Source organism: Homo sapiens, chromosome 18 (assembly GCF_000001405.40).
Source record: "Homo sapiens chromosome 18, GRCh38.p14 Primary Assembly".
Lineage (NCBI taxonomy): Eukaryota > Metazoa > Chordata > Mammalia > Primates > Hominidae > Homo > Homo sapiens.
The window spans coordinates 76,385,271-76,411,637 of NC_000018.10; the positions used below are offsets into that span (position 1 = coordinate 76,385,271).

The 26,367-nt window shown below is 51.2% G+C and overlaps 1 protein-coding gene across 16 annotated transcripts in view, besides 6 other annotated features; it reads right to left on the minus strand.

The window, feature by feature from the left end:
* The window catches only part of ZNF516 (zinc finger protein 516), a 138,738-nt gene that overhangs the window by 27,589 nt on the left and 84,782 nt on the right, over positions 1-26,367 (minus strand). The window lies entirely within an intron of this gene.
* Positions 5,401-5,918: an enhancer, noted in NCBI's record as "H3K27ac-H3K4me1 hESC enhancer chr18:74102627-74103144 (GRCh37/hg19 assembly coordinates)". NCBI's record gives its function as "activates a minimal SCP1, AML or CMV promoter by ChIP-STARR-seq in primed H9 embryonic stem cells {active_cell/tissue: H9 hESC(primed)}" and the evidence as "EXISTENCE:reporter gene assay evidence [ECO:0000049][PMID:30033119]".
* Positions 5,556-5,724: a silencer, noted in NCBI's record as "fragment chr18:74102782-74102950 (GRCh37/hg19 assembly coordinates)". NCBI's record gives its function as "represses an EF-1alpha promoter that drives an FKBP-Casp9 reporter gene in an ReSE screen in phorbol 12-myristate 13-acetate-treated (for megakaryocytic differentiation) K562 erythroleukemia cells {active_cell/tissue: K562(+PMA)}" and the evidence as "EXISTENCE:reporter gene assay evidence [ECO:0000049][PMID:32094911]".
* Positions 19,600-20,436: an enhancer, noted in NCBI's record as "H3K4me1 hESC enhancer chr18:74116826-74117662 (GRCh37/hg19 assembly coordinates)". NCBI's record gives its function as "activates a minimal SCP1, AML or CMV promoter by ChIP-STARR-seq in naive H9 embryonic stem cells {active_cell/tissue: H9 hESC(naive)}" and the evidence as "EXISTENCE:reporter gene assay evidence [ECO:0000049][PMID:30033119]".
* Positions 25,477-25,576: a silencer, noted in NCBI's record as "silent region_9550". NCBI's record gives its function as "represses an Ori minimal core promoter by ATAC-STARR-seq in GM12878 lymphoblastoid cells {active_cell/tissue: GM12878}" and the evidence as "EXISTENCE:reporter gene assay evidence [ECO:0000049][PMID:35858748]".
* Positions 25,767-25,846: an enhancer, noted in NCBI's record as "active region_13507". NCBI's record gives its function as "activates an Ori minimal core promoter by ATAC-STARR-seq in GM12878 lymphoblastoid cells {active_cell/tissue: GM12878}" and the evidence as "EXISTENCE:reporter gene assay evidence [ECO:0000049][PMID:35858748]".
* Positions 25,957-26,006: a silencer, noted in NCBI's record as "silent region_9551". NCBI's record gives its function as "represses an Ori minimal core promoter by ATAC-STARR-seq in GM12878 lymphoblastoid cells {active_cell/tissue: GM12878}" and the evidence as "EXISTENCE:reporter gene assay evidence [ECO:0000049][PMID:35858748]".

A 26,367-nucleotide genomic window follows, 5' to 3' on the forward strand; every position in this document is an offset into this window, starting at 1 on the left:
CAAGCTGGCCCTGGCCTGGCTGGTGCCGCACACCGCCGACAAGCATGTTTCACACGGGGCCCAGGGAGTGGCAGACTTGCACTGTCTGAAGTCCCTGAGGCAACATCTTCAACACACACAACCGCCCTCAAAAGCACAGAAATGCGGTGAGGGCACTTTGTATAAAGTTACTCCCCTTTCACTTAAAATATTTTTTATTACTGTAGTAAAATATACATAACAAAAAAGTCTGCAGCCACGCAGCCACGCTGAGGCGCTCCCCTTCCGCGCTTACGGCTGCTCTGGGGCTGCCTATTCGTCATGTTTTCGGTTTTCCATGGGTGTTTAAAGCACTTCATTCTCAGTGCACATTTGTGCCTCTTTTCTTCTTTGAAAAATAAACAGGACCCCAGGAGCGCCCTGCTGGCTGTCACTCCAGGAGGGGCAATGGGCAGCAAGCATGGGTCTGCGCCCAGCTCTGGTGATGCTGAAGAACCGGGCCCTGCATGTAGGGTGCCACTGCACTGCCCCCCCCCCGGGAGCTGTACCCCCATGGGAGCGGTTGCCTCACTCCTCCTCCCAGGCAGCCCACCTGCAGGAGGTAGCGCCGGCCCCGGTGCCAGGACCCTCGTGGCCCCCTGTGCACTGACAGTGCATCCTCCGGCCAGTTTCCTGAGCTGCTATTCCTACAAAGCGGCCCTTCCAAAAACCAACTTCCTCCTGAAACGCATCCCCATGCTCTCTCTGCAAGACACTTTTCTTGCCTAACTTCGTAAGTGTTTAGAATAAAGATTTTTCTCATTTCTGCCCCTCTATATTGGGCTTCGTAAAAGCCATTATTTCTTTCCACCCATAACGGATACAGTTTAGTTAATTCCGTGAACAGGAAGGGGTGTCTGCCCACCTGGCCTCTCTGGGTTTCTAAGGGAAGGTTGGGGGCCCTTGCTTGGGGATTGGGGGGCTGTGGTGTTTTGCTGGGCTGGGCTTTGTTGAACACACAGGGTGGCTGCAGGCAGGTCCCCACTCTGCACAGTTGCTGGACCCGTCTGCAGTCAAGTTCACGGCACATCCTGAGCTCAACACCGGGGGCTCACCTGCATATTAACAGGGAGTGAGAAGTGAATGAACAGGTAATTGCAAGCATCACATTCGTCAGTGACATCTCTGATTCAACTTTAGGCTGACAAGGAAGGGGGATGGGAGGTGAGGGAGGAGGGAGGAAATGGCACTACTTTTATAAAGGTTAAGAAAAGGTAAAAGTTCCACAATATTAAGATTATACAGGGAAGAAAGCTTGATGCTTTTTTTAGAAGACGAATTCAGTTAAGCGACCATAATTCTAAGGAGCCTCAGGAATAAAACTTCTCACCTCCCAACCTACAAACGGCATCAGAACCACCAGAAAGAGGCCCTTTAATGAACAATTGCATGTACAGAGACTTGTATGAGGACTTTTATCTCGTTCTACATTTTTCAACCTTATCACAATGATTTCCTTTCTAATGGATGAGAGCTGGACTTTTCAAGATTTTCCAGTTCTATGACTGACAATTTTACCCACACATGTCATTTTCATCATGCAGCCAAACATCTTAAATATTTTATTCTATAATTTCGGCAACCATCATGATGGTTCCCACAGGATGTGGTATAATTTCGGCAACCACATCCTTCCCACAGGAAAAAACCTGCCAAGGGCATGGGGAACCCGTTAACACCCCAAATTCTCACTGGACTGATCTCTCGGCGCTGGCTGACCGGACACCTGCTGCCCTGAGACCAGAACCCATCGCTGGAGTCCCTGCCACCTGGGCAGGACCATGCCCCGCCCCTCTGAAGGCTCCGTCATCCATGTGGACTCTGCTCCTGGGACACAGCCACCGTGGGACGAGCCTGCAGCCCCTCTCATTTCAGCCACATCAGCTCAGGTCAGACACGTGCACAAAATTCACACTTCTTCCAGGCACCCCACCACGATCATAGAACAGGAAGAATCTTTGAAGAGACGTGGCATGTCCATGCACCACACCCAGGCCGGTTTAGTAACCCGTGGATGATTCTTACGTGCCTTACACCCGCTTTGCTTTTCCAATACATTGTATGTTTGCAGGAGTGAAGGCACCGAACAGCAAGCAAGGGAGGCAACTTGCAGGTACACCAGCACAGGCCCGCACACGCTCTGCCATTGACCTGCTGCAGACGCAGATGAGATCAATTCTGTGTGTCGTGGTAGGTTTATAAAATACAAATTGTTTTAATATATTTTATCCCAGATTTGCCAAGAAAAAAGAAAAAAAAAGTCACTCAGTCACACAAAAGCACACCAACTATATAACGTGATTTTCTTTTTTCAGAGGATTACTAAGCTGGTAATGTAGGAGACCGAAGCATGCATGGACTTGGTCTCTCCCTGACAGTCTTGGGGACAGGAAGGAGAACACGGCTGGCTTTAGTGCACAGAGGTCAGCTGGGAGCAGGCCCAATGCCTCTGCCCAGGAGTGGCCATTCCTGAATCTGACATGGACAGGAGACAGGGAAATACTGGATAGAACAGGGCAGTTCCCTGGCAAAGGCCCCACCCTCGAGCTTGGAAACCTGCGGCCCTAAATGGGAACAGGTATTCCTGTTTTCAAACTCAAGTGTTGCTTTTGGCCCGCCATGCCTCCCTATCCTGTACCCGTAGAAACCCCAAACCCCAGGCTCCAAGAGCAGAAGAGCAGAAGACTGGCAGAGTGGCAGAACGGCACGGCAGAGAAGAAAAGAGAAGGAGCATCTGAACATCGAGAGGAGTATGGCTGCGGACAGTCAGAGAGGAGGTCGGCCGTGGGACAGCTGAACTCCAGGGGAAGATCATCTTCCCACTCCATCCCCTTTCCAGCTCCTCATGCATCCCCCTGAGAACCACCTCCACCACTCAATGAAATCCCTGCAATCACCATCCTTCAAAGCCTGTATGACCCGATTCTTCCTGGACACCAGACAAGGACCCAGGTACCAAGATGGCAGGGTGTAAAAGGCTGTCACCCTGACTCTCCACTGAGCTGGTTGAACACTTAGCCATCCACAGATAGCAACTGCTAAAACAGCATTAATTGTCTAGACACTACCATGGGGCCAACGCCCAAAAGCACTCACCCAGCTCCTGCACCTGCCAATCTGCTTGCTACCCCTCCTGTAAGGAGTTTGAGCGCAAATAAGCCACGCCCCTGTTGCAAGTCCCGCGAGGGGTCAGGGAACTCTCCTGTTTCAGATCCACAAGGAGGAAGGTCTCAGAGGTTGCTGCAGTGCCCGACCTCCCATGAGCCATCATGTACATTGATGACCCAGATGGAGAAAGGGAACCGGACAAGCTTATTGGAGCAGGGCTGACACTCAGAGATGAGGGAGACCAAAGCAGCACAGAGACTCAGAAGTTTTCGATGAGATGCAACAAAGGCTTGAAACTAACAAGATGAAATCCCGTAAGGAAAAACAAAGTGCAAGAAGAGAAAGTTCTGGCCACGGAAAAGACCCCAAGCTCCTAGGAGACCATGGGCTCAGTGTGAGTTACTCGGCTCAGGGTTGAGATCAAACAGAAGCATCCTCAGCAACAGCCGGGGAAGGAAGGCCCACGACGGGGCTGGCCAAGGGTCCTCTCTTCACACTGGGCGGCAGGAGCCCAGCCTGGGCTCTGAACCATACATGGAAGAGCAGCAAATGAACCATACATGGAAGAGGAGCAAATGAACAAGAGTGAGCGGGTCCAGAACAGGCCCGGGGGAGGCTTCTGGGAACCAAGTAATACGAGAATGACTGCAAGAATGTGGACTGTTCCACCCAAAACAGGCGGCTGGTGGGTTGGGCTGCCACAAACCCCGATGTTACTCGGTGAGCACTGAATGGATGCAGGAAAATCAGTTCATCCATGACAGCCTTGCAGGTGGCATCTGAGAATCATCTGTCAAGGTCACGAGCCACAGCTGGCAACAACTGGTCAAGGCCAGAACCTGGCCTAAAGTCCCGGCTTCTGAGGGAGTGGCCTGCACATTCTCCAAAAAAAAAAAAAAAATCTCTGGGTGATTCTAACTGCAGCCAAGATTGAGGAGGGCTGGGTAAGATAGGACAAATAAACAGAAATCAATGAGAATGAGATTTCAGGGGAGGCCAAGGGAGAAGCCTTCAGCTGAGAAACAGCTGCCTTATAAACAGTGCATCCCTCACCAATGAGAGGGGCAGGCAGAAAGCAGGAGGCAGCTCTCGGGAATTCTGCAGGGACAGACCTTCCATCCGCACGCACATGGAGGCATGATCTCCCCCCGTCAATTCTAAGGTTCTAAGTTTCGTGTACGGAAACGACCCAAAAATTGCTAACTAGACAGGAGTAATTCATTTCTTATGTACTCTTCAATGTCATTTTTTGTTCTGTTCAATTCCTTGTGACTTAGTTGATTTTTGCAGAGTTATTTTTAAGCAGTACAAAGTAGAAACACACTTCTTGAAACAAAAATGCTTTGTCATTTCTTAATCTCTACCTTTAAAAATAGCAAGCAGCTATTTCACTCTGAGGAGCGCTTACACAGCCATCACTGCCCGCAACCCTGGGACCTGAGGGGGAGATGGGTGAGTCTGGAGAAAAGGCTGTTTCCTAAGAGTCTCGTTGCTAGTCCTGCTCGGTCACATGACCTCACCTGTGGTCCCGAGCGATAGTGGGCAGCACGCAGTTTTATTACATGAGGCAGTATGTCTCCCGGTTCACGCTTATTATAGCAATAATTCCAGAGCTTCTCACTCTTGGTTAAAACAGAACAGAAACACAAATGCAATACCAAGCACAAAACCACGAACATCTTTGAGTAACTGGGCTCTTCCTCCTACACAAAACGTCCTGACGGGTCCCTCAGAGTGAATCTATGGTCACGACCCGGACCCCGGAGGCCTGTGCATTGAGTATGCGCTAAGGTTTTTAATACAACTGGCTTCTTTCCATTGTCTCCCAAATATCCCACCCCAGGTAGTTGGGTACTGAACACAAACTGGTCATTTTGATATGAGAATGAGCAAATCTACCAGAAAATTACGAGCCATGTATGTCTGTAATGAAATCCACAAGGAACCATGACTGCAGTTTCTCCAGCCCCATGGCACACCTGTGTCAGGGTTTACACCAGTGGCTTTAACAATACAGCCCAACACACACACCTGTTGCGGGGTGGAGCAGGTCACCCAGGGAGGCCAGTCCCAAGCCAGGAAGCAGCAGTGATGTGCCCAAGACGGCACCTGTCTCAGATGCATCCCAGCTCACCAAGGACCAGGGGATTCCAGGGAAGCACCAGGCAGGCCTTGGGTCGACGGCCAAGCAGCCCAGCTGCCAGCACCACCCACAAGTCTCCAAGTCTCCGAGGAAACGAGGGGCACAGAGCAACCCGGGTCCCGCAGGCAGGAGGCCCATGTGGACGTCGGTCATTATCCTTTGGAGAGGAGAAGCTGGGTTTGCCAACTCAGCCTGAGCACTGCATTCCCCAGCCAGAAGCACCGAGCGGCGGTGTGATAAACACATGACACTTTCCGGGTTCACTGGGTGCCTGGAACCATGCCAGGAACTTCACATCCATGACCTGCCCCTCGGAAAAGGTCTAGGGAGGGAAGGTCACCGTCCCATTTTGTAGATACGAAACCTGAGGCACAAAGCAGCTTATCTAAGGCCATCAGGCTGAGAGCTCAAGCCAGCTTCAAATGCCTCTATCTCAGCTCACACCCCACAGCGCTGAGCTCATTGACACTGGCAGGTGTTCCCAGATCCCAGGAGGGCCACGAGGGAAGGAACCCAGGCACAGCAGGTACGGAAGGTGGGGACACCAGGGGTCCACAGGAGGACAGAGATTGCACAAAGAAATCATTAAGGAGGGCTGCGAGATTTCGAAAAGAAAAGAGAAAATGATATGAAGAGTCTGCACTTTAGGAAACACGCTACAGGGTGAGTAAGTGTGAGCGTAAGGGCTCTGGCCGAGGAGGGTACTACCATAAGCACAAGCCAAACCACAACCCTAATCCCAGCACAAACCCTAGCCATAGCAGTAGCAATACACCTAACCCTAACCTAACAACTAACATGAACACCTGATCCCAATCCTAACCCCCTCAACCCTAACCGTGAACCAACCATAACCCTAAACCTAACCGCTAACCATAACCACTAACTCTAACACTATTAACCCTAATCCAACTCTAACCCTAACCCCTTACCCAACTCTAACCCTACCCCTACACCTAACCCAACTCTAAACCTAACCCAAACACCTAACCCTAACCCAACTCTAACCCTAACCGCTCCCTCTGTCGCTGTGGACTTGCCCGCAGCCAGGTCCTCCTGCAAACCTGCACAGCCCCATCCCAGACACGTGACTAGGACAGGGGTCCCCAAACATGATGTACTGGCATCCTGGTAGCCTGGGCAATCACACCAGCCCTACAGAACCTGTACTAAAATACCAAATTAGAAACAGGGACTTCCACAGGTGCCCAGGCAACCAGGTGGAAAACTGCAGACACAGAGGTCTCAGTCATCCCATGGCCCCAGCCTCATTGTGTGCTTTGGGGATAAGGCTGTTGTCTCAGCCTCGCCCTGAAGGCCGGAGACCCCATCAGACAGAGACAGGCAGAGCCAGCAGGAGGAGGCCGGGCAGGTAGGCCCACAGCAGAGAGGCCACGAGAGCAGGGGAACGTGACACTCAAAGGGAGAGGGACGGCGAGGCAAACAACACCACGGTCCTCTCTGCCGCGGCTCACAACGCCGCCCCTGGCTTCCGGGGAGCACACAGCTGAAGAAGAGCCTCATTTCCGCCACCAGCGACGCCAGTCAAACCAGGAAGCCAGCGCAGACTCGGCCACTGGACCAAAGAAACACAGTACGGCCAAGGGACAGGCCTTACATCCAGGGCTCAGGGTGGCCTTTTCCTCACTGTCCCCATGAAAATGAGAAGACTTCACAGAAAGGGAAAGAAGCATCTTTTGACATAGGGAAAAAGACTCTAGGTTCCTAAATAGATGTAAGACCACAGGGAGTGTCACTAATAACAGGTTATAGTTTTACAATCTTCTGGTCAGCCACAGGCTCTAGGGTTGGCAAACGGGGCTCTTCACCCAGAAGGTGACATTCACAGGGCTCAAAATATGTCCCAGGCAACACAAGTCACCCAGGAAGTAGCGCAGCCTGGGAAGCCCTTTGCATGTTCAAGAGCAGAGACCAGGAAAGCAGGAGGCCAGCTGGGAAGGCAGGTGGGAAGGTAGGTGGCCAGGTGGGGGAAAGGTGGATGGGAAGGCAGGTGGCCACGTGGGGGAAAGGTGGATGGGAAGGCAGGTGGCCGGGTGGGGGAAGGGCAGGTGGGAAGACAAGTGGCCAGGTGGAGGGAGGGCAGGCGGGAAGGCAGGTGACCAGGTGGGGGAAAGGTGGATGGGAAGGCAGGTGACCAGGTGGGGGAAAGGTGGATGGGAAGGCAGGTGACCAGGTGGGGGAAAGGTGGATGGGAAGGCAGGTGACCAGGTGGGGGAAAGGTGGATGGGAAGGCAGGTGGCCAGGTGGGGGAAAGGCAGGTAGTCAGGTGGGAAGCCGGGAAGGCAGGTGGTCAGGTGGGGGGAAGGCAGGTGGTCAGGTGGGGGGAAGGCAGGTGGTCAGGTGGGGGGAAGGCAGGTGGTCAGGTGGGGGGAGGGCAGGTGGTCAGGTGGGGGGAAGGCAGGTGGTCAGGTGGGGGGAAGGCAGGTGGTCAGGTGGGGGGAGGGCAGGTGGTCAGGTGGGGGGAAGGCAGGTGGTCAGGTGGGGGGAAGGCAGGTGGTCAGGTGGGGGGAAGGCAGGTGGTCAGGTGGGGGGAGGGCAGGTGGTCAGGTGGGGGGAGGGCAGGTGGTCAGGTGGGGGGAAGGCAGGTGGTCAGGTGGGGGGAAGGCAGGTGGTCAGGTGGGGGCAGGGCGGGTGGTCAGGTGGGGGGAAGGCAGGTGGTCAGGTGGGGGGAGGGCAGGTAGTCAGGTGGGAAGCCGGGAAGGCAGGTGGTCAGGTGGGGGGAAGGCAGGTGGTCAGGTGGGGGGAAGGCAGGTGGTCAGGTGGGGGGAGGGCAGGTGGTCAGGTGGGGGGAAGGCAGGTGGTCAGGTGGGGGGAGGGCAGGTGGTCAGGTGGGGGGAAGGCAGGTGGTCAGGTGGGGGGAAGGCAGGTGGTCAGGTGGGAAGCCGGGAAGGCAGGTGGTCAGGTGGGGGCAGGGCGGGTGGTCAGGTGGGGGGAGGGCAGGTGGTCAGGTGGGGGGAAGGCAGGTGGTCAGGTGGGGGCAGGGCGGGTGGTCAGGTGGGGGGAAGGCAGGTGGTCAGGTGGGGGCAGGGCGGGTGGTCAGGTGGGGGGAGGGCAGGTGGTCAGGTGGGGGGAAGGCAGGTGGTCAGGTGGGGGCAGGGCGGGTGGTCAGGTGGGGGGAAGGCAGGTGGTCAGGTGGGGGGAAGGCAGGTGGTCAGGTGGGGGGAAGGCAGGTGGTCAGGTGGGGGCAGGGCGGGTGGTCAGGTGGGGGGAAGGCAGGTGGTCAGGTGGGGGGAAGGCAGGTGGTCAGGTGGGGGGAAGGCAGGTGGTCAGGTGGGGGCAGGGCGGGTGGTCAGGTGGGGGGAGGGCAGGTAGTCAGGTGGGAAGCCGGGAAGGCAGGTGGTCAGGTGGGGGGAAGGCAGGTGGTCAGGTGGGGGGAAGGCAGGTGGTCAGGTGGGGGGAGGGCAGGTGGTCAGGTGGGGGGAAGGCAGGTGGGGGGAAGGCAGGTGGTCAGGTGGGGGGAGGGCAGGTGGTCAGGTGGGGGGAAGGCAGGTGGTCAGGTGGGGGGAAGGCAGGTGGTCAGGTGGGAAGCCGGGAAGGCAGGTGGTCAGGTGGGGGCAGGGCGGGTGGTCAGGTGGGGGGAGGGCAGGTGGTCAGGTGGGGGGAAGGCAGGTGGTCAGGTGGGGGCAGGGCGGGTGGTCAGGTGGGGGGAGGGCAGGTAGTCAGGTGGGAAGCCGGGAAGGCAGGTGGTCAGGTGGGGGGAAGGCAGGTGGTCAGGTGGGGGGAAGGCAGGTGGTCAGGTGGGGGGAGGGCAGGTGGTCAGGTGGGGGGAAGGCAGGTGGTCAGGTGGGGGGAGGGCAGGTGGTCAGGTGGGGGGAAGGCAGGTGGTCAGGTGGGGGGAGGGCAGGTGGTCAGGTGGGGGGAAGGCAGGTGGTCAGGTGGGGGGAAGGCAGGTGGTCAGGTGGGAAGCCGGGAAGGCAGGTGGTCAGGTGGGGGCAGGGCGGGTGGTCAGGTGGGGGGAGGGCAGGTGGTCAGGTGGGGGGAAGGCAGGTGGTCAGGTGGGGGCAGGGCGGGTGGTCAGGTGGGGGGAAGGCAGGTGGTCAGGTGGGGGGAAGGCAGGTGGTCAGGTGGGGGCAGGGCGGGTGGTCAGGTGGGGGGAAGGCAGGTGGTCAGGTGGGGGGAAGGCAGGTGGTCAGGTGGGGGGAAGGCAGGTGGTCAGGTGGGGGCAGGGCGGGTGGTCAGGTGGGGGGAGGGCAGGTGGTCAGGTGGGGGGAAGGCAGGTGGTCAGGTGGGGGCAGGGCGGGTGGTCAGGTGGGGGGAAGGCGGGTGGTCAGGTGGGGGGAGGGCAGGTGGGAAGGCAGGTCAGAACACAGCCTCCAGGAGAGTGCTGTCCACACACAGAAACTCATTCATTGCCCAATCACCACACACGCCCTTTCTGACTGAACCACGGTTGACTGGAAGAACCGGATGATATCCCAGGTCTGCATTTTTCAAACTCAGTCCCGATTCCAACTCCTTCTGCTCTAACTAAACACATGAGTGAGCATTTGGTCATCTCAGGCCAGGCAGGAATATTGGAAACGGATGGAGCAAAGTCACAGACAAAGCCTGCATGCCTGCATGCCATGTTTTTAGGTTGTAAGGGAACAAATGTTAAACACAAGAAAGGGAATTTTGGCCCTAACCCAGCAGAGTGGGTTTCCCACACAGGCACTCCTGCTGCCGCAGGGCCTCTGCGCTCGCTGTTTCCCCCGCAATTCACAAGGCTGCACCCCGTCCTAAACGAGCATCTCCCAGACACCAAGAAAGCAAACCTTGTTTCACAGCTTTATCGCCACTATCTAGCGCATCTGGCTCCTGGGAGAGAGACCATCAACAAATATGCATTTATGGGATGAATGAGGTGAGTAGGAGTCATTTAATATCCAAGACTCACATGCAATGAGACAGTGCACAGGAAACTGCTAAAAAGCATGAAGCGCAAGATGAATTCGTTAATTCAGCAGGTATCTCTTAAGGACCTGCAAATAAGAACAGTAACGTTAAGCACAGGCAGCCTCAGGGGCAGGTACGGAATTCTGGCAGCACAGAGCACAGCTCTTAACCCAGTTACCAACCTCGAGTGGGTGCTGAGGTGGACATCCCAGAGCTACAGTCACTGGAGTCAGTGACCACGGACAGGCTGGAGGCCACGCATTCTAGATGAGGGAGTCTCTCTCCAAAACAAGACGCACCAGCACGTGCCGAGGAAATGAAACTCCAAATGACGGTAAGATAAAGCACTTCCCAAATGACGTCACCACCCTGGTCACACTGCAGCCGGCCGTGAGGGTGGGCCAGCCGCCCTGCAGGAGCCAAGTGTTTCAGGGACAGGACCCCGCTCCTCGTCCAGCTCCCCACACCGCGAGCTTCACCGTCCGGAAGTGCGCAAAGCTGCAAGTGAAAGAGGAAGCCCTGCCTTCTTCCCAGCATCCACGCTCCTGACCCAGAAGGTGATCCACGTACAACCTGAAGTATGAGATTTCATTAGCAGCCCATTCTCTTAATTAAAAGCCAGATGGAATATTTGAGGTGATGGCCTCGAATGGTAGATGGTGCTCAGGGCTGACAGCAAATAGGATATTCAGGTCACTGGTTCTCCCATCCCCAGTAGCTGTGATTAGGAGATGGTCACACCCCTCCTTCACTTTCTTCTTCTTAGATGTTCCCTCTTATTTAAAAAGAAAAATCTATGAAACTAGCCCCATACAAGTGTATGGGCATGGGGAACAAATAGGTATTTGTGATATAAAAGCAAACAGCCTCTATCCAAATGACACTGAGGATTTCAACCATATATGGCGCGCAGGGTCACCCTCTTCCCAAGGTGAAAATGCCCAGTGCCAGGAGCCCGACGCTGTCTCAGAACTCAGGGCCACTGCATTCAAAATCATTTCAAGATTTCAGCATTTACTTTTAATATTTGTGAATCTGTAGTAACTTTTATAACAGACATGACTAGTTAACAAAAAACTGGATTTGACAGCAAGAACATCACAGTCATCAACAGTGTTGCTCAGAAGAAGATCCATCTATCACTTTTAACCTGTCCTGAAAGGGGGAAACTTGATGAAATCAGGCGTCCAGATTTCATCACAATTTGAATTTCTAAGACAATCAAAATGCCAGAGACTAAGACAAAACTACATAGACATCTGGGGGGAAAAACAGCCCCTGGAAAGATATTCAAGCTGAAAGGATCTTGGCAGCAGGCAGAGTGGTTCTCCAAACTGTGGAGAAGAGAGGCCATTCCACTGAGAGTGAGAGGCCGGAGCACCGCTGTCAGACGATGTTTTTGGATATGATGTAGAAAATGCACGAGGAAAAGTTGTAGCTATAATATCCACGGGGGCTTTTCCATGAAAAAACAAGACATAAGCTGCCTGTGCAAGGGGAGCCAAAGAAATGCTGAAAACCACTGCCACAGGCTGGTGTGATCTGGAAGTTCTCCTCCTGAAACACAAAAAAATAACCCAGACAGACTCAGTGCTTCAGAGGGACACAAGGAGCACAGAAAAGCCGGGGGACACATAATTGCTTTCAGAGGCTACGCAGTTCAGAAGCAGGTGCAGCCCATCAGGAAGCCACAAGCCCCTCCAGAGGCACCGAGTCGGGGAGACCCAAGCCCCAAACACCAAGGCCATGGAGTAGGAAAGTGACAGCGTGGGTCTTGCCCTCATTCTCATCAAAGGGCAGCCCTGGGCTTTCATACAGAATAATAAACGCTGCTGCCAATCGTCCAGCTCAGTCCTATGGCCAGAAAAGTTTCTTCTAAAGAAATGTCTTCAAGAATGATTCTTATCATGACACATACAATGTGAACTACAAAAAAAAAGAAAAAAAAATCTGAATGACAAGAAAATGCCAGGACTAGAGCAACATGGAACTGAATGGTATTATAAAATTTTGATAAATTATACCCCAAGATGTTTATTCTACTTTTTCTGGATGACTGAGTACACGTTTTCATTTTAAGTGATAATCTACTAACATAAACAACTTGCGAAAGTATGTTATCTGTGTTAACAGAAAATTACATAAATATCTTAGTACTCTGGACACGATATTTTATTTTTGAGACAAGGTCTTGCTCTGTCACCCGGGCTGGAGTGCACTGGTGCAATCACAGCTCACTGCAGCCTCAACCTCCCAGGTTCAAGCCCTCCTCCCACCTCAACCTCCTGAGTAGCTGGCTCTACAGGCGTGTGCTACCATGCTTGGCTACTTTTTTAAAAACTTTTTGTAGAGATGGGTCTCACTCTGTTGCCAGGCTGTTCTGAAATTCCTGGGCTCAAGTGATCCTCCCTGGCATCTCCAAGTGCTAGGATTACAGACATGAGCCACTGCGCCCCCAGCCTTGGAAGCTGTATTTTGATGTCCGAACAAAAACAGTCCCAAATTAAATATAGAATTTCTGACTAGACAAATTATTCGTGTTACTTTTTAAATCAGTGAGTACAGAATCAACAACTTAAAGGTTAATCAAATACCTCTAGCTTCCATGACAGCTTTCGGTTAAACAGCAGTTTATCCGGCATAAAACATAATCAGGTTCCAGAAACCTGGAATTTACTAACTGCTTCCTATTGACTCAACCATAAAGAAGCGTCGCTCAGGTTTGGTTTTTCTGTTGTGAATCAAATGCTGAAGTGAATCGAATTCAAGTTGGCTTTCACGGCTACTCTACACCTTACACACCTTCCTTCGTCCCCAGATCCTAACAGCCAACCAAAACACATCCACTGGAGAAAATACAATCAATATATTCTTTTATTATTTTTTAAAACATGGCAAACCATACTTTAATCAGAGAGCAATGAAGATTTCCACTTACAAATTTATCCAAGTTGGCAAAAAATAATTAGCTAACACGAATCTTTCCTTGTATGACGCAGCTGTCTGAAGCAGATGCCAGCTAGCACAAAGGCCGTACATGAAGTCTTATCAAGAATGGTGGCGGGGACTGTCGGGAAGAAGGTGCTGACGCCGCTGGTAGATGTTAGAATGAAAATAAGGAAGCTTAGAGTAAGGAGGAGAGCAGGAAAGCCAGGCCCATAACACTAGTTATGAAGGAATGGGGGCCTTTCTGAAGGAATGGGGGCCTGGAATCTTCCAACAGGAGTCACAAAGAATACAATTAAACCACTTGTGTGTTTTCTCCTACACAAAGTGTTTTAAGAGGCATAGGAGGGAGTAAGTCTCAGGAAGAGAAATAACACTGTACACTTCTCCGACTTAAAGCCAACTAATATACACACAAACTAGCTAGCACCTGCATGGCTTTCTACAACTTTTTCTATTGCGATGCATAAATGTCCAAAAACACAGAATCCAAATTCCGTGTCTTTTACAAAGAAACTGTAATGAGTCTTTAAAAAAAAAAATCAGGATCACTTATTAGTAGAGTCTTCAGATTTAAAATCAGGCATGTGTCTGACTTACGGAACAAAGGCCATTTCATAACACAAGCGGTCTCTGTCCTCCGTGACAGAGGAAGGCGGATTTCCCCGAGGCATCCTGGCAGCCCGCGCAATGCATGGAAGCTACCACTAGATGGCACCTGCGCCCAAGCTATAGCCCGACTCCCTCCTGGTGCTGGTGCTACGCGTGTGGTCCCCGTACATGGAAGAGCCATCCACTTTTCAACAACAGGCATTTATCTGCAAAAGACTTACACCAAGAGCTTGCCTTAAAAGATCATCAGGACAAATGCAAAATGCACATGTCTTATGAAGCACAGCACTGTCAGTATAGCAATGCATCCTTTTGATCTGCATCTTACATTTCAGTTTGCACCTTCAACAATATTTTCAGAGGCTAAAAATGCAGAGGGCTTTAAATTAATAATATATTTGCATTTTGGCATAGACGGAATTAAGCAAACTATGTCCATGAACATTACATGTGGGGGATTATATATATAGTCAGCATATCCAACTTCAAAAATGTCCAACCTTGCAAAAACTTACTCAAATGTAATGAGTTAGCAATTGACTTAAAGTATGTTAGTCATTTAGTAACTGACTTGAAAATGCTCTCCATGCTGGCTTCAAGGCAGCTCATCTCAGCGAAAGCCTGGGTGCGTTCTAAGCGCTAGAGAGGAGGTTCAGGAAAACAGCACCTAAGTTGTCTTCTGTCACCTCTAGACTCGAGGTCCACAGGTCTGACTTCTAGCCCCAGGGCCCCCCTGATACTGTATAAGTCGGGAAACACTCTCATCCCTTGAACATAGCTCTGGGTGACATCGTCCATTCAATACCGGTCCCAGGTGGTCACCACCTGCAGGAGGAGACCCAGCCACCAGCCCTCACCATGTTTCTGCTTGGAACCAGCAATAATCACTTAAGATTGTGAGTGACATGTGGATGAAATGGAAACTGCTAAGATACCTGGCTCTTTGGCCTAGTTTGGTCTCCCAGTGGGGTGGTTTCAAGGGTAAGGATGTGCCTCTCCCACCGTGGGATGAGCAGACCATCACCGCAGAGCAATCAGCCCTGCCCAAGGGCAGCAGCCCTTCTGAAAGTGGCCCTTCCTGCACACGCCCCCACTTTAGCAAACTCAGGCAGGAGGGTGTGAAAGGGCTGGAAATTCAGAGTGAGCAACTGGAAGGGGAGACAGATGGAGGGACAATTTCCCAAGAGGCCGACTTGGGGCAGAAGCCAGAGAGGGAAAAAGACAACCCCCAGGTCTGAGCCTAGGCCAGAGATGAACACAGGAGCAGGCGAGGCTCACGGTGTTCACGACACAATTTTCTAAGTCCTTTCACAGAGGTTTATGTTACAATTATTGTCATTCTTTGGGTACTGTGATGTGTGTCTTCTGGTAAGACGGACTGAATAATTTGAGAAACAGCTATTTCTGAGCACTTGGTAGGATTTGCTACCTAAACGCCCAGAAAGTTAAAACTTCATTATTTTAGGACACTAAATAAACAAATAAACATCCCAGCTTTCCCCATTAGACATTCTTACTCTTATCGTTCTGATGAATTCACAACCTGGCTGGTACTGACCCCGTACTTGGTTGAGTGTGGATTATAAAGCTATAAGCAGAGAGGGGTGACCAAATGGAATCAAACTACGTAGGCACGGCCTGTCTGGTTAGGAAGCTTGTCCACACAGAAAGCCAGGCAAAACTAAAGCATGTTATGGTTACACATATATAAACAAATGTGAAACATGTAGGTTTTCTACAGCTCCCACATGCAGAGTTCAAACTATTATGTAATATAAATATTGAGTCTCAGAAGTTCCAGTCCACCATGGATACCTAAGGAAAAGATCTGACATTTTACTTAAAAATTTCAGCAACTCTCCCCAAATCACAACACTATATTGTTCCTGAAATATCTCAGGCAGGCTTCCTTAATCACACTGTAAGTTGTAACAAAAGGGTTGTAATTATAGTGTCCATTAAAATGATGTAAACACAATATATATATATATACATTTCTCCTTCAGACTTCATTCCTTCGTTTTCCTCTTCTCTCCTATTTTTAAAAAGAGGAAATAACTGTATTTTCCTTTCCTGTACATCTTAACCCATTTATGCCTAGTGTTCCATTATTGGAACGCTAAGCTCATGGGAGTTATTTATATCCTACTGCTCAAGGTTGTCACCAAGGTCTGATTTTTCACTAAAAAAAGAAATTTGCAACCTCCGGCATAAATGGGTTAAGTTTTGTTCTTATAGTTCACCTTCAATTTATCTTTTTTTTTTTTTTTTTTGTGAACCAAAAAAAAGAATTTCAAGCCCCAATTGAACAATGCCTCAGACAAATCTCTGGAAAGCCCTAATTACTGCATTTATCTTCTCAACCACTCAGTCATATTTCTATTTTGAGAAGGAGTTACAAAATAATATCTCTGCAACTGTTTCGCAGGAGCTCGTTGACCAAGCTGGAGCCCTGGATCTATGAATTCAAAATTTTGAAAGCTAAGTAAGCTGTTTTCCATCAAGTACTACATCAAAAAGCTGGTCACAAGAGGCCAAGCCTAAGTCCGTCCCTCTCCGCCCACGGGCTTCTCCGAGGCCATCTCCGAAACGCCCTGCAGCTGCTGGCAGAGCCCGCATGGGCCCCTATGTGGCCCCTGGACAGACCGACGGCACTCCTGGGGCAAGGTGAGCCCGGAGCACAACCGGCCTCCCAGTCAGTTCCTTCCCGGGGCTCTCAGAGCCAACCACACCCCCGCGCCGCATCTCTCCACCACCAACCACACCCCCGCGCTCCATCTCTCCACCAACCACACCCCCGCGCCGCACCCCTCCACCACCAACCACACCCCCGCGCTCCATCTCTCCACCAACCACACCCCCGCGCCGCACCCCTCCACTACTGTTTATAGGCTCTCAAGAGGGACAGGGAAAACCAGTATTGTTTGAGTGCCAACTCTGCATAAACAATTTCCACAGAATGACTGCACATGCATGTGCGTGCCTATGTGCATGTGTGTACGCGCGTGTGTACACGTTTGTGTGTACACGTGCGCGCATGTGTGCACGTGAACGTGACCAGTGGTCTCTGCATCCCACAGGGAGGGGAGGGCTTCTCTGAAAAGAAATTGTATATGCACAAGCCTTAGCCCCGCGCCTTCTATTTGCTGAAGACATCGCCTCGGTCAACACCAATGAATTCATTTACTCTGTGAATACAAATCCCGCCAGTGGCCACAACAATCCCTCTTGCTGAGTTCAGCAGTGAACGAGGCACACACTGGGCTGTCCCGCGCAGCTGCCTCCAGAGAAGTCGAGAGTAAACCTGAAGAAAGGGTGCCCTCCCGTAACCTCCCAGAGCCACCACCCAGAGGACAGGAAGGGTCCCACAGGCCCCTTCAGCTTTACCATCCTAAGATGCCTAGGTCCGAGGACATTTCCTTTCATCCAAGCTACAGGCGTCCCACAGCTGAGAACCCGGACCTGTGTGACCTGTGACCCCCTCTGCCACCCACGTGACAGGACAGACCATGGACCAAGTGGCCCCTCAGGGACCCAGGCTGTCTGAGGCCCCTGCGGGGGACAGAGGAAGACGTTGCTTCTCCAAGAACACAACTTACACTCGGGCACTCACGGACAGTCGTGATTGCAAAACGGGAAGTGATCTGAAGAGTCGCAACAGATCTGAACGACTAAACTCCGCTCCTTAAACGAACTTCAGATCAGCGATGACTTGACAGGTCTGACTCTCACGTGATTTCTCCTCTCTGAACTAGAAGCGAGCTCCATCGGGCCGCTGCGCTTCTATCAGCTTGAGCTGATGCCCTCCGTGTTCCCACACTGGCAGCTGCCGTCTGCGCTCGCAGGACCACAAGTGATGAACTGATGCCCTCCGTGTTCCCATGCTGGCAGCTGCTGTCTGCGCTCGCAGGACAACAAGTGATCCACTGGTTGTGCCACAGAGTCGAAGCTAGTCGAAGCTACAGGGCTGAGAGCCAGAAGCCACCTGCAAAGGGAGACTGTGCTCACCTGCGCACCTTCCCAGTTGCTGCTGAGCCACCTGCCTGCCACCAGGCCAGAAACCACCAAAGGCGCCTGGCACTACTGTCATTTCCATTATCATCAATGGCTATGACTATTTCTCTGTAATTACCCATGTTTATCTACCCTGCGTTTACTATACATAGGAATAAAACACAACTGCTTAAACTATTCAAATCCACCTGGAAGTCCATACAACAGTACTATACTGGTGCACCCGTTAAGACACTTCCCTTGCCCAGGGCTGCCTGCACCTGTCTGCCTGACCTGGTTCATCTCTTCTCATACACATGCAGTCAGATGAGAAGCCACACACACAGGCACGCTGCAACGCACACCAACACAGGTACACATACAAAGCACAAGCATGTGGTCATGCATTCATGGACATACATACAACTGTACATGCACAGCCACACCTGGGGGGCACACACGGCACAGGCATGTGTGCAGTCACACACGCATTCGCACAACTCACAAGAGAATCGCAGTGTGGTCTGGGTTGGGAATCCAGGACTGCAGGGGTCAGCGACTGTACAATGAGATACAGAGCACCCAGCCCTGACCCTCACGTACCTCCTACAACCAAATACAAGATCTAGAGTTTCACACCCATGAATCCACCATTCTTTAAAGTGAGAAAACAGGCGCATGTTTGGAGGTAATTCTTAAAGCTGAGAGCATCCAATCTATATCCTTAATAACCTGAGTGAGAAATCACACACATACCACGAGCGAAACACATTACAAGGGCCTCACCTTCTCCTATTGACAGATTTCCATCAATTTCATGATCTATATGATGTATTCACATCAAAACTAAAAGATGCAGCTGCCAGTAATGAAATACTTATGATTTTTAAAATCTGGGGAACATGCATACCCCTGCAACAGTCTCGATGTCTACAAAAAGCACAGGTCCAAGGACTAAGCATCCTGCGGACAACGAGCACCGACCACCACTCCCTGTGGCCCCCACGTGGGTACCAGAGCAGCAGCGGACAGGCTGGCAGCCTGGGGCTCCTGTCCACTGGGCAGGGCTGGGGCAGAACTGGCCTCCCCACTCCACTCTGTGGCTCTCCAACACCCCTGGGGACTTAGCAGTCTCCAGTGACAAATGTTGCTGAAAAGTCACCAATCTCAAGCCCTGGGCAAAGGGAAGACCCTCGGAAGCAGGTGGTCCCACATGGTATCGCCCTCTTCCATGAACCCCAGAGCCAGGGGGGTCCCCAAGGACCTCACATGCAGCTCCACACACGCCTGGGGGAGACGACGTGATCCCACTCGCCCCACTCCAGCACTTCGTGCATGTGGACCGTGTGTATGTGTGAGTGCATATACTACGTGTAATGTGCATGTGTGTGAACGGCAGTTTTAGAGTATCTGTGTGAGTGTGGGGGTGAGTGAGCATGTGTGCACGTGTAAGAGTGTGCATGTGTGTGAGCAAGTTTGTGTTTGTGCATGTGAGCATGTAAGCATGTGTGCATGTGTGTGCATGTGACTGCACAAGTAATGTGTGTGAACATGTGTGAACGTGTGCATGTGTTTGTATGTTTGTGAGTATGTAATGAGTAAGCATGTGTGCATACTAGTGTATGTTTGTAAGTATGAGTGCACCTGTGTGAGGATGCATGTGCATGTGTACATGGGTGAGCGTGAGTTTGTGCCTGTGAGCATGAGTGTGAGCATGAGCATATGCACGTGTGCATGTGATCAGCATGTGCGTTGTGTGTGCATGAGCATATGAGCATCTTTGAGCATGAGTACATGTGTGAGCATATGTGTGCATGTTAGCATGTGTGCACGAGTTTGCATGTGTATCACTGTAACTGTGTGCATGTGTGAGCATCTGTCCATGTATGGTGAGCATGACTGTGAGTAGGAGCGTGTGTGTGTGGGGCCGTCCCTGCAGACAGGAGAGTCCTAAGCCACGGTCGATGGTCCCCCTACCCTCCTTGGTCCCCTCCCCACACATGCAGCAACCCAGGTATAAGCAGTACCCTGCCCTTTGCTCCCAGCAAAGACCTCAGGTGCTGGGCCCATTGCAGGCACAAGCTAGGCAGATACTCGCTTTCCTCAGCACCTGATGAACCAGCCTCCCGAGGCCAAGATAAGGACACACCCTGGAGGTCATCGGGAACACGGTTTCCAGGGAACAGGGTCTGCACTGGCACCACAAACCCAAGGGCCCCCCGAACTGTGCAGCCTCCCATCAGACAGACTGTGTCTTTTTTGAGACAGGGGTTTGACTCTTGCCCAGGCTGGAGTGCAGTGGTGCAATCATAGCTCACTGCGGGTGTCCTCGACTTCCTGGGCTCAAGCGATCCTCCCGCCTCAGCCTCCACCCCACACTGCACACACCCACCAGTGCTACCCGCATAGGACAGGACACTCAGGAAGGGCTCAGTGAGGCACCGACAGGGCGTGGGCAACGGCAGGAGACTCCGCAGTGCATCAGCATGAAGCAGCTGAGCACAGCCAGCAGGCAGCAGGCCCCAGCCCGGGAGGGGCGGCGTGGAGCTTGAAGGGCCTCCTTTCCTGGTTCCTGTCTTCCCTTCTACCCCTTTCACTTTCGGGGCACCCGGTTCTGTTGTGTTCTCATTGCGGTTCTGCTTGCGGTTCATTTAAGCACCACGGTGAAACATTCATCCCTTCAGAGACATCCACGGTCATCAGGCCTGCAGTATTTTTACCAAACGCCCCCGGTTGGTGACTCCGCTGACACACGCGTGATGAATGCGTGTGTTGTCCGAGACACAGAGCCACACCGTCACACTCAGCCTGATGACGGCTGCCCCTCCCCATACTTCAGTCAGGGTCAAAGGCGACTCACCTTCCTTTGGAATCCCGCCGCCCCGTCCCATGGGTGATGAGTCCATGCCAACCCCATCCGTCAGGGACCCACCTTGCATGGCGGCTTCTGCACGGACTGATCAGATCCACCTCTGATACACTGAACAACTCAGTCATGCCTGGCCCTCACACCAACATCCACACGGGAGGCGTGCTCAAGCGTCCTCAGCAGGCCCAGCTGTCATCAGACGACAGCGCACGCAGGTGAGGGGCCTCCTTCAGGGCAGATGGCACACGGGACACCCTGCAGCCCCTCCTCCGGAGGCACCGCCCGGCCTGCAACTCGCCCGCGCTGCCCAGACCCCAAACCTCTCTTTTACCCTGACTTCTTCACCACCAGGTGGCGCCTGTGCTGGATTTCTACTCTGAAGCCTCGTCCATCTACTTAGCCAATCTTCCTCTTAACAACAAAAACAAGGCCGGGCGCGGTGGCTCACGCCTGTAATCTCAGAACTCTGGGAGGCCGAGACAGGAGGATCACGAGATCAGGAGTTCAAGACCAGCCTGACCAACATGGTGAAACCCCGTCTCTACTAAAAATACAAAAATTAGCCGAGCATGGTGGTGCACGCCTGTAATCCCAGCTACTCAGGAGGCTGAGGCAGGAGAATCGCTTGAACCCGGGAGACGGAGGTTGCAGTGAGCCAGGATGGCATCACTGCACTCCAGCCTGGGTGACAGAGCGAGACTCTGTCTAAAAAGAAAAACAAAACAAAACAAACAAGAAACCATAAAGCCAGCGACAGCCGCGCTCCACATCTCCCCTAAATCTCCCCTTTCCTAAGCCTTCCTGGCTCTGCTGGCCTGTCTGCACGTTATCATGGGTTCCAGGCTTTCGCCAACACGTTCCTGTAGACCTAAGAGATGTCAAAGTTCCCAATAGTCAATAAAATTACCCTCTTTCTCACCATCACAGCAGGAAGTCCCCACAGAATCCACTGACGGCCCAGGAGTGCAGAGTCTTATCCTTCTCAGAGACAGACCCACACGAGCACCGCCTCTTTGAGAGTGGGAGACAGCAGCCGAGTGGCCGCATCTCAGTGTCCCCTGCCAGGCCGGAGTCCCCGTGCTCCTGCCTGGGGCTATCTTAGATTTGCTAACCCGGGGCACACAGTGCGTCTCCGTCCACTGTTGGGTGAGACCTCGCCCAGACAGAATCCAGGTTCTCTCGTGCACAGGCTGGGTGGACAGGTTAGAACGGCTCTGGATTCCTCCGCTACAAAATGAGTTAATTCTACTTTGTGAGGTGGATTCAAGGACACCCAGGGCAGGCATGGTGGCTGACACCTATCATCTCAACACTCTGGAAGGCCAAGGCAGCCTTCCAAAGGCCAAGGAGGATCACTTGAGTGCAAGAGTTCGAGAACAACCTGGGCAACAGAGACCCCATCTCCACAAAAATAAAATAATTAGCCAGGCATGGTGGTGTGCACCTGTTGTTTCAGCTACTCGAACAGCTGAGGTGAGAGGAACCCTTGAGCCCAGGAGATCAAGGTTGCAGTGAGCCAAGATCGTGCCACTGCACTCCAGCCTGAGCGACAGAGACCCTGTCTCATAACAAAGAAGAGGGGGGGAGTGGAGAGGAGGAAACCCAGTAGCGCAGGTTCAATGTCGGGACAGGGGCTCGGGCGGCAGCATCCATAATTACGAGGAGACGGGGCCATGTGATTGGAACCCCAGCCTTCCTGGCACAGACAACACCGCCCTCTGAACACAAGCCATGCCAATCCACTCGTCCACCACCAAGCATCATTCTAGCAACACTGCCATTTCCCCCTTAACTCTTTCATCCTTTCTGATGGTAAAACATGGATACAGAAAATACCCAACACGACATGCAGTTTAATCAGTTATTCGAAGGTGAACACCCTTATAGCTACAGCCCGCAAGAAACAGTCGTTGCCAGCCACCCAGACACCCCTCATGGGGCCCATGGGCTCAGAGCCCCGCCCAAGTTTCCACAGTGTTCACTTCCCTGCATTCCTCTATGCAGTTCAAACACGCAGCCCTCTGAGCTGCAGCCCAGCCAGGTCCTTCCCTGATGTGTCTGAGGGTCCCCGGTCCACAGGCTGGCCCACTGCCGGCTTCCCACCACCTGGATGATGCCAACTGCACCCTCTTGGTGCAGCCCGCGCTGCTTCTGTCCTCTGTAGTTTTGGCACGCTAGACATGCACCATTTTAAAAGGACCAGAAGGCTTTTTCCCATATGGTTCATGGGATGGCAAGGGAGGCAACAGTCTCCTCAAAAAATGAGATGAGGCTGCTACATTTGGGGAGGTGAGGAAGGACCCAGAGCCTTGGAGGGACAGAACTGGCAGGACCAGGAAAGTAGACCTTGCATGAACGTTTTTAATCGCACGTCACTATGACCTCCCCGCTGTTATTGGAAGGCTGAGTTCCTAGTGACACAATGACTGTTTCCAAGGTGGGTGAACTGATCCTCATCCAAGAGGTGCTGCAGGCTGGTGTGGACAGCAAGCTCCGAGGGGCTGCGGCGTGCGTCTCTCCTGACAGCGACACACTTGAGACCCTCCGGGAGTTCCAGCCGGGGTGAAACCAGTCACAAGGGAAAATAGCAAAAATTAAGAAGAAGTGCATGGCTCTGGTATAGCTCGGAAAGTACACTGTGAGGTTTAAGGGATGGTTTAAAAGGAACCAGGAGGTGAAAAACGTCTAAAGGCGGAAGGTGTCAATGTTTGTCATCCAACTAGGAAACTGAGGGCACATGGCTCCCAAGACTGTGTGAGACACTGGCACCCTAACACCAAGAAGAACATGACCGCTAACGACAGAAAGAGGCGTAAAAAGAGGCCTTTCCAAACTGACCCACGTGAATGTTTGCATAGTGACACGTTTGTGTTCGCTCGCTAATTCACAGAAAACAACTTCCACAAAGCTGTCCTTAGATTTCCAGTAATGTATCACCCTCAGTCGACAAACATTTTCCTATGAAATACTTAGCACCCACTTCTAGTCCTGTCTCCTGACACTGTGAAGTGAAGCTACCATGAAGCTGGGCTCAGGACACTGACGAGAGCGCTGCTAAATTGAGGCTCAGACTGAGGTTCCGCCCCCACTCAGAAGCCAAGCCAAAGATACGAAAAGTTAAATATATTCTTATCTATCTAACCTTCAGAAAACAAAGAAGCTATAAAAAAAATCATAAAAGTTTTACACTTGCAGAGAAACATACAGCAAATAACTAGACATAATCATTTATATATAAAATCTCCCTAATATAAGCAAATAAAAAATATTTACATAGCTAAAGTGGAAGAGCAGCAAGAGAACGATTCCAGGGAAATTGAGACTTTGCTTAAATGTGGTTGTGGATTCCACTTCCTCTGCACAGATATGTTTTGTACATTTATAGAAACTCTATTTTTATACAAATCAGGAACACCAGAGTTCTCTGATGACCAAATTTTCATTATCAAATTTAATCACAAAATATTCATTATTGAAATTAATTAAAATGTATTATCAAAATTAATCAAATTCGATTTCTTAACCTGACCTCCAAGAACACTGCAGGAAATGCTACCATTGTCACAACTAATTTGCCAATGGAAATTAAAAAGAAAAAATTCTAAGAAGCTGATTTTGAAGTTACAGTAAAAATTAGTGTTGCAAAAAAAGAAAACAAGCACTTACATTTCATTGAACTAGAGACTGAAGAACAATCACATGGTGGGCCAGACTGTTCTTCTGGTAGGAACGATATTAAAGTATACCAACTATTACACCAAAAATATGCTCAGTGGCCAGTCTGGATAACTCTTCACATCTGTGCTGGGCTCTCTGGATTTGCTACTTCACCATGAGCCCACCCTCCCTGTAGCTGGAGATGGTGGAAAACCGAGAGAGCTGCATTTCCCAGACTGCCTTGCAGCTAGGCTTTGCTACAAATTACATGTCCCCAAATTGGAGGCACCAGTGAGATCCAGACATTAGAGGTGGTATGGTTTGGCTGTGTCCCCACCCAAATCTCACCTTGAATTGTAGTAATCCCCATGTGTCAAGGGTGGGGCCAGGTGGAGATAACTGAATCATGGGGGCAGTTTCCCCCACACTGTTCTCATGGTAGTAAGTTTCACGAGATCTGATGGTTTTTATGAAGGGGAGTTCCCTTGCACACACTCTCTTGCCCACCGCCATGTAAGATGTGCCTTTGCTCTTCCTTCATCTTCCACCATCATTGTGAGGCCTCCCCAGCCATGGGGAGCTATGAGTCCACTAAGCCTCTTTCCTTTATAAATCACCCAGTCTTGGGTATGTCTTTGTTAGCAGCGTTAAAAACGGACTAATACAGGAGGCTCCCAGCTGCCAGTGCTGGCTGGCAAGGACAGGGAAGTATGAGGGCTCGCCACAGCTGGGTTCCTTCTCCAGGCCCCTGGTTGTCACAAAATAGTGGCAAAAGTGAGAGCTTCTTGATAGAGCTTCCTGATTCTCGGGTCAGGGCTTCAGGTATCCATTCTCTGGCTTCCAAGGTCTCAAGAAGCGGTTTTGACTGTGGCTTCTTCCTTTCAGCACAAAGAAAACAGCTCCTGAGATGGGTTGATTCTGTCATTCTGTCACTTTCTGGAGCCACTGGAGGAGGCCTTGCCTCGAACAGGTCCCGAAGCTCGCGCAGTGGTTCCGCAGTTCCCTACACAGCCTGCATTCCTGCTTCAGGTACCGAGACGCTTTTCTAACTACACTGAACTCTGACAGGTAAAATTTGCTTTTGGGGAGGAAAAACCCTATGATTTTTAAAAATTTCAATTTGTTTTGGTAGAATGGAAATCTTCCCCTTGCAAATTTATTTTGGGAATCAAAGAAAATAAACCATTCACTTGTGGGAGACTTGAGAGTCGGCTGGAGGAGAAAAAGAGAAATTTTACCACAGGATTCTTCCTCACCTCCTAGTGTTCACCATGCAGCCACAACACGCAACACACATCCAATCAGCAGCAATCTCCCGGGGGAGTTTTTCAAGATCTCAGGTTATAGCCAATTAAACACATCAAAGAGCAAACACCTACACACTCAACTTTCTAAATGAATACACAACAGTGTGCTCAGTCTGCCTTTCAATATATCAATGAGAAGAACTTGCATGTCCTAAAAGCAGATAAAACTTTCAGATTAAAGAAATAAAAGACCAGCTAGAATTCTAACACAGCTTTGCTGCTATGAAATGCTTCCATTTTCAGAAGCTGTGTTCTTAAGACAACTGAAAAGCACATGGAATCCCTGAGGTCAGGACTGTCTAACAGGTCCTCCTCCGGGATGGAAACGGTCTCTAAATCTGCCCTGTTCAACACGTAGCCTCTCATGGCCAGGGGCTACTCACGAAGGACTGTGCAGCCTTGAGTGTCACAATCCTGTCATTCTGGATGAAATGGGTGTCGTGTACCTTTCGCAATACCCCAGAGACAAAATGCCTCACTGCACCCCAGCTACACACAGTGCAGATTCTACATCAACAGCCTCCAAAATACACTCAGTTCCACTGAACATCCTGCACTGGAGACAAGAACATTTCCAAGCATTTCAGCAAGTCGCGGCTTCAACAAAAATATTTCTTAACCACAGGTAATTCTAAGGTTGGATTCTTCACTTAGGATCACTGACATCAGAGTTAATAGACAAGACACTATTCCATGGCATTCAGAGGAGAGCAGCAAAGGTGGGGAACAAAGCAAAATTAAAACTATAAAATACTTAAAAGTTACAAAATACGCCAAAAGCATGGAAGGATGTGTTGAAAACACCACAAAAAACTTCT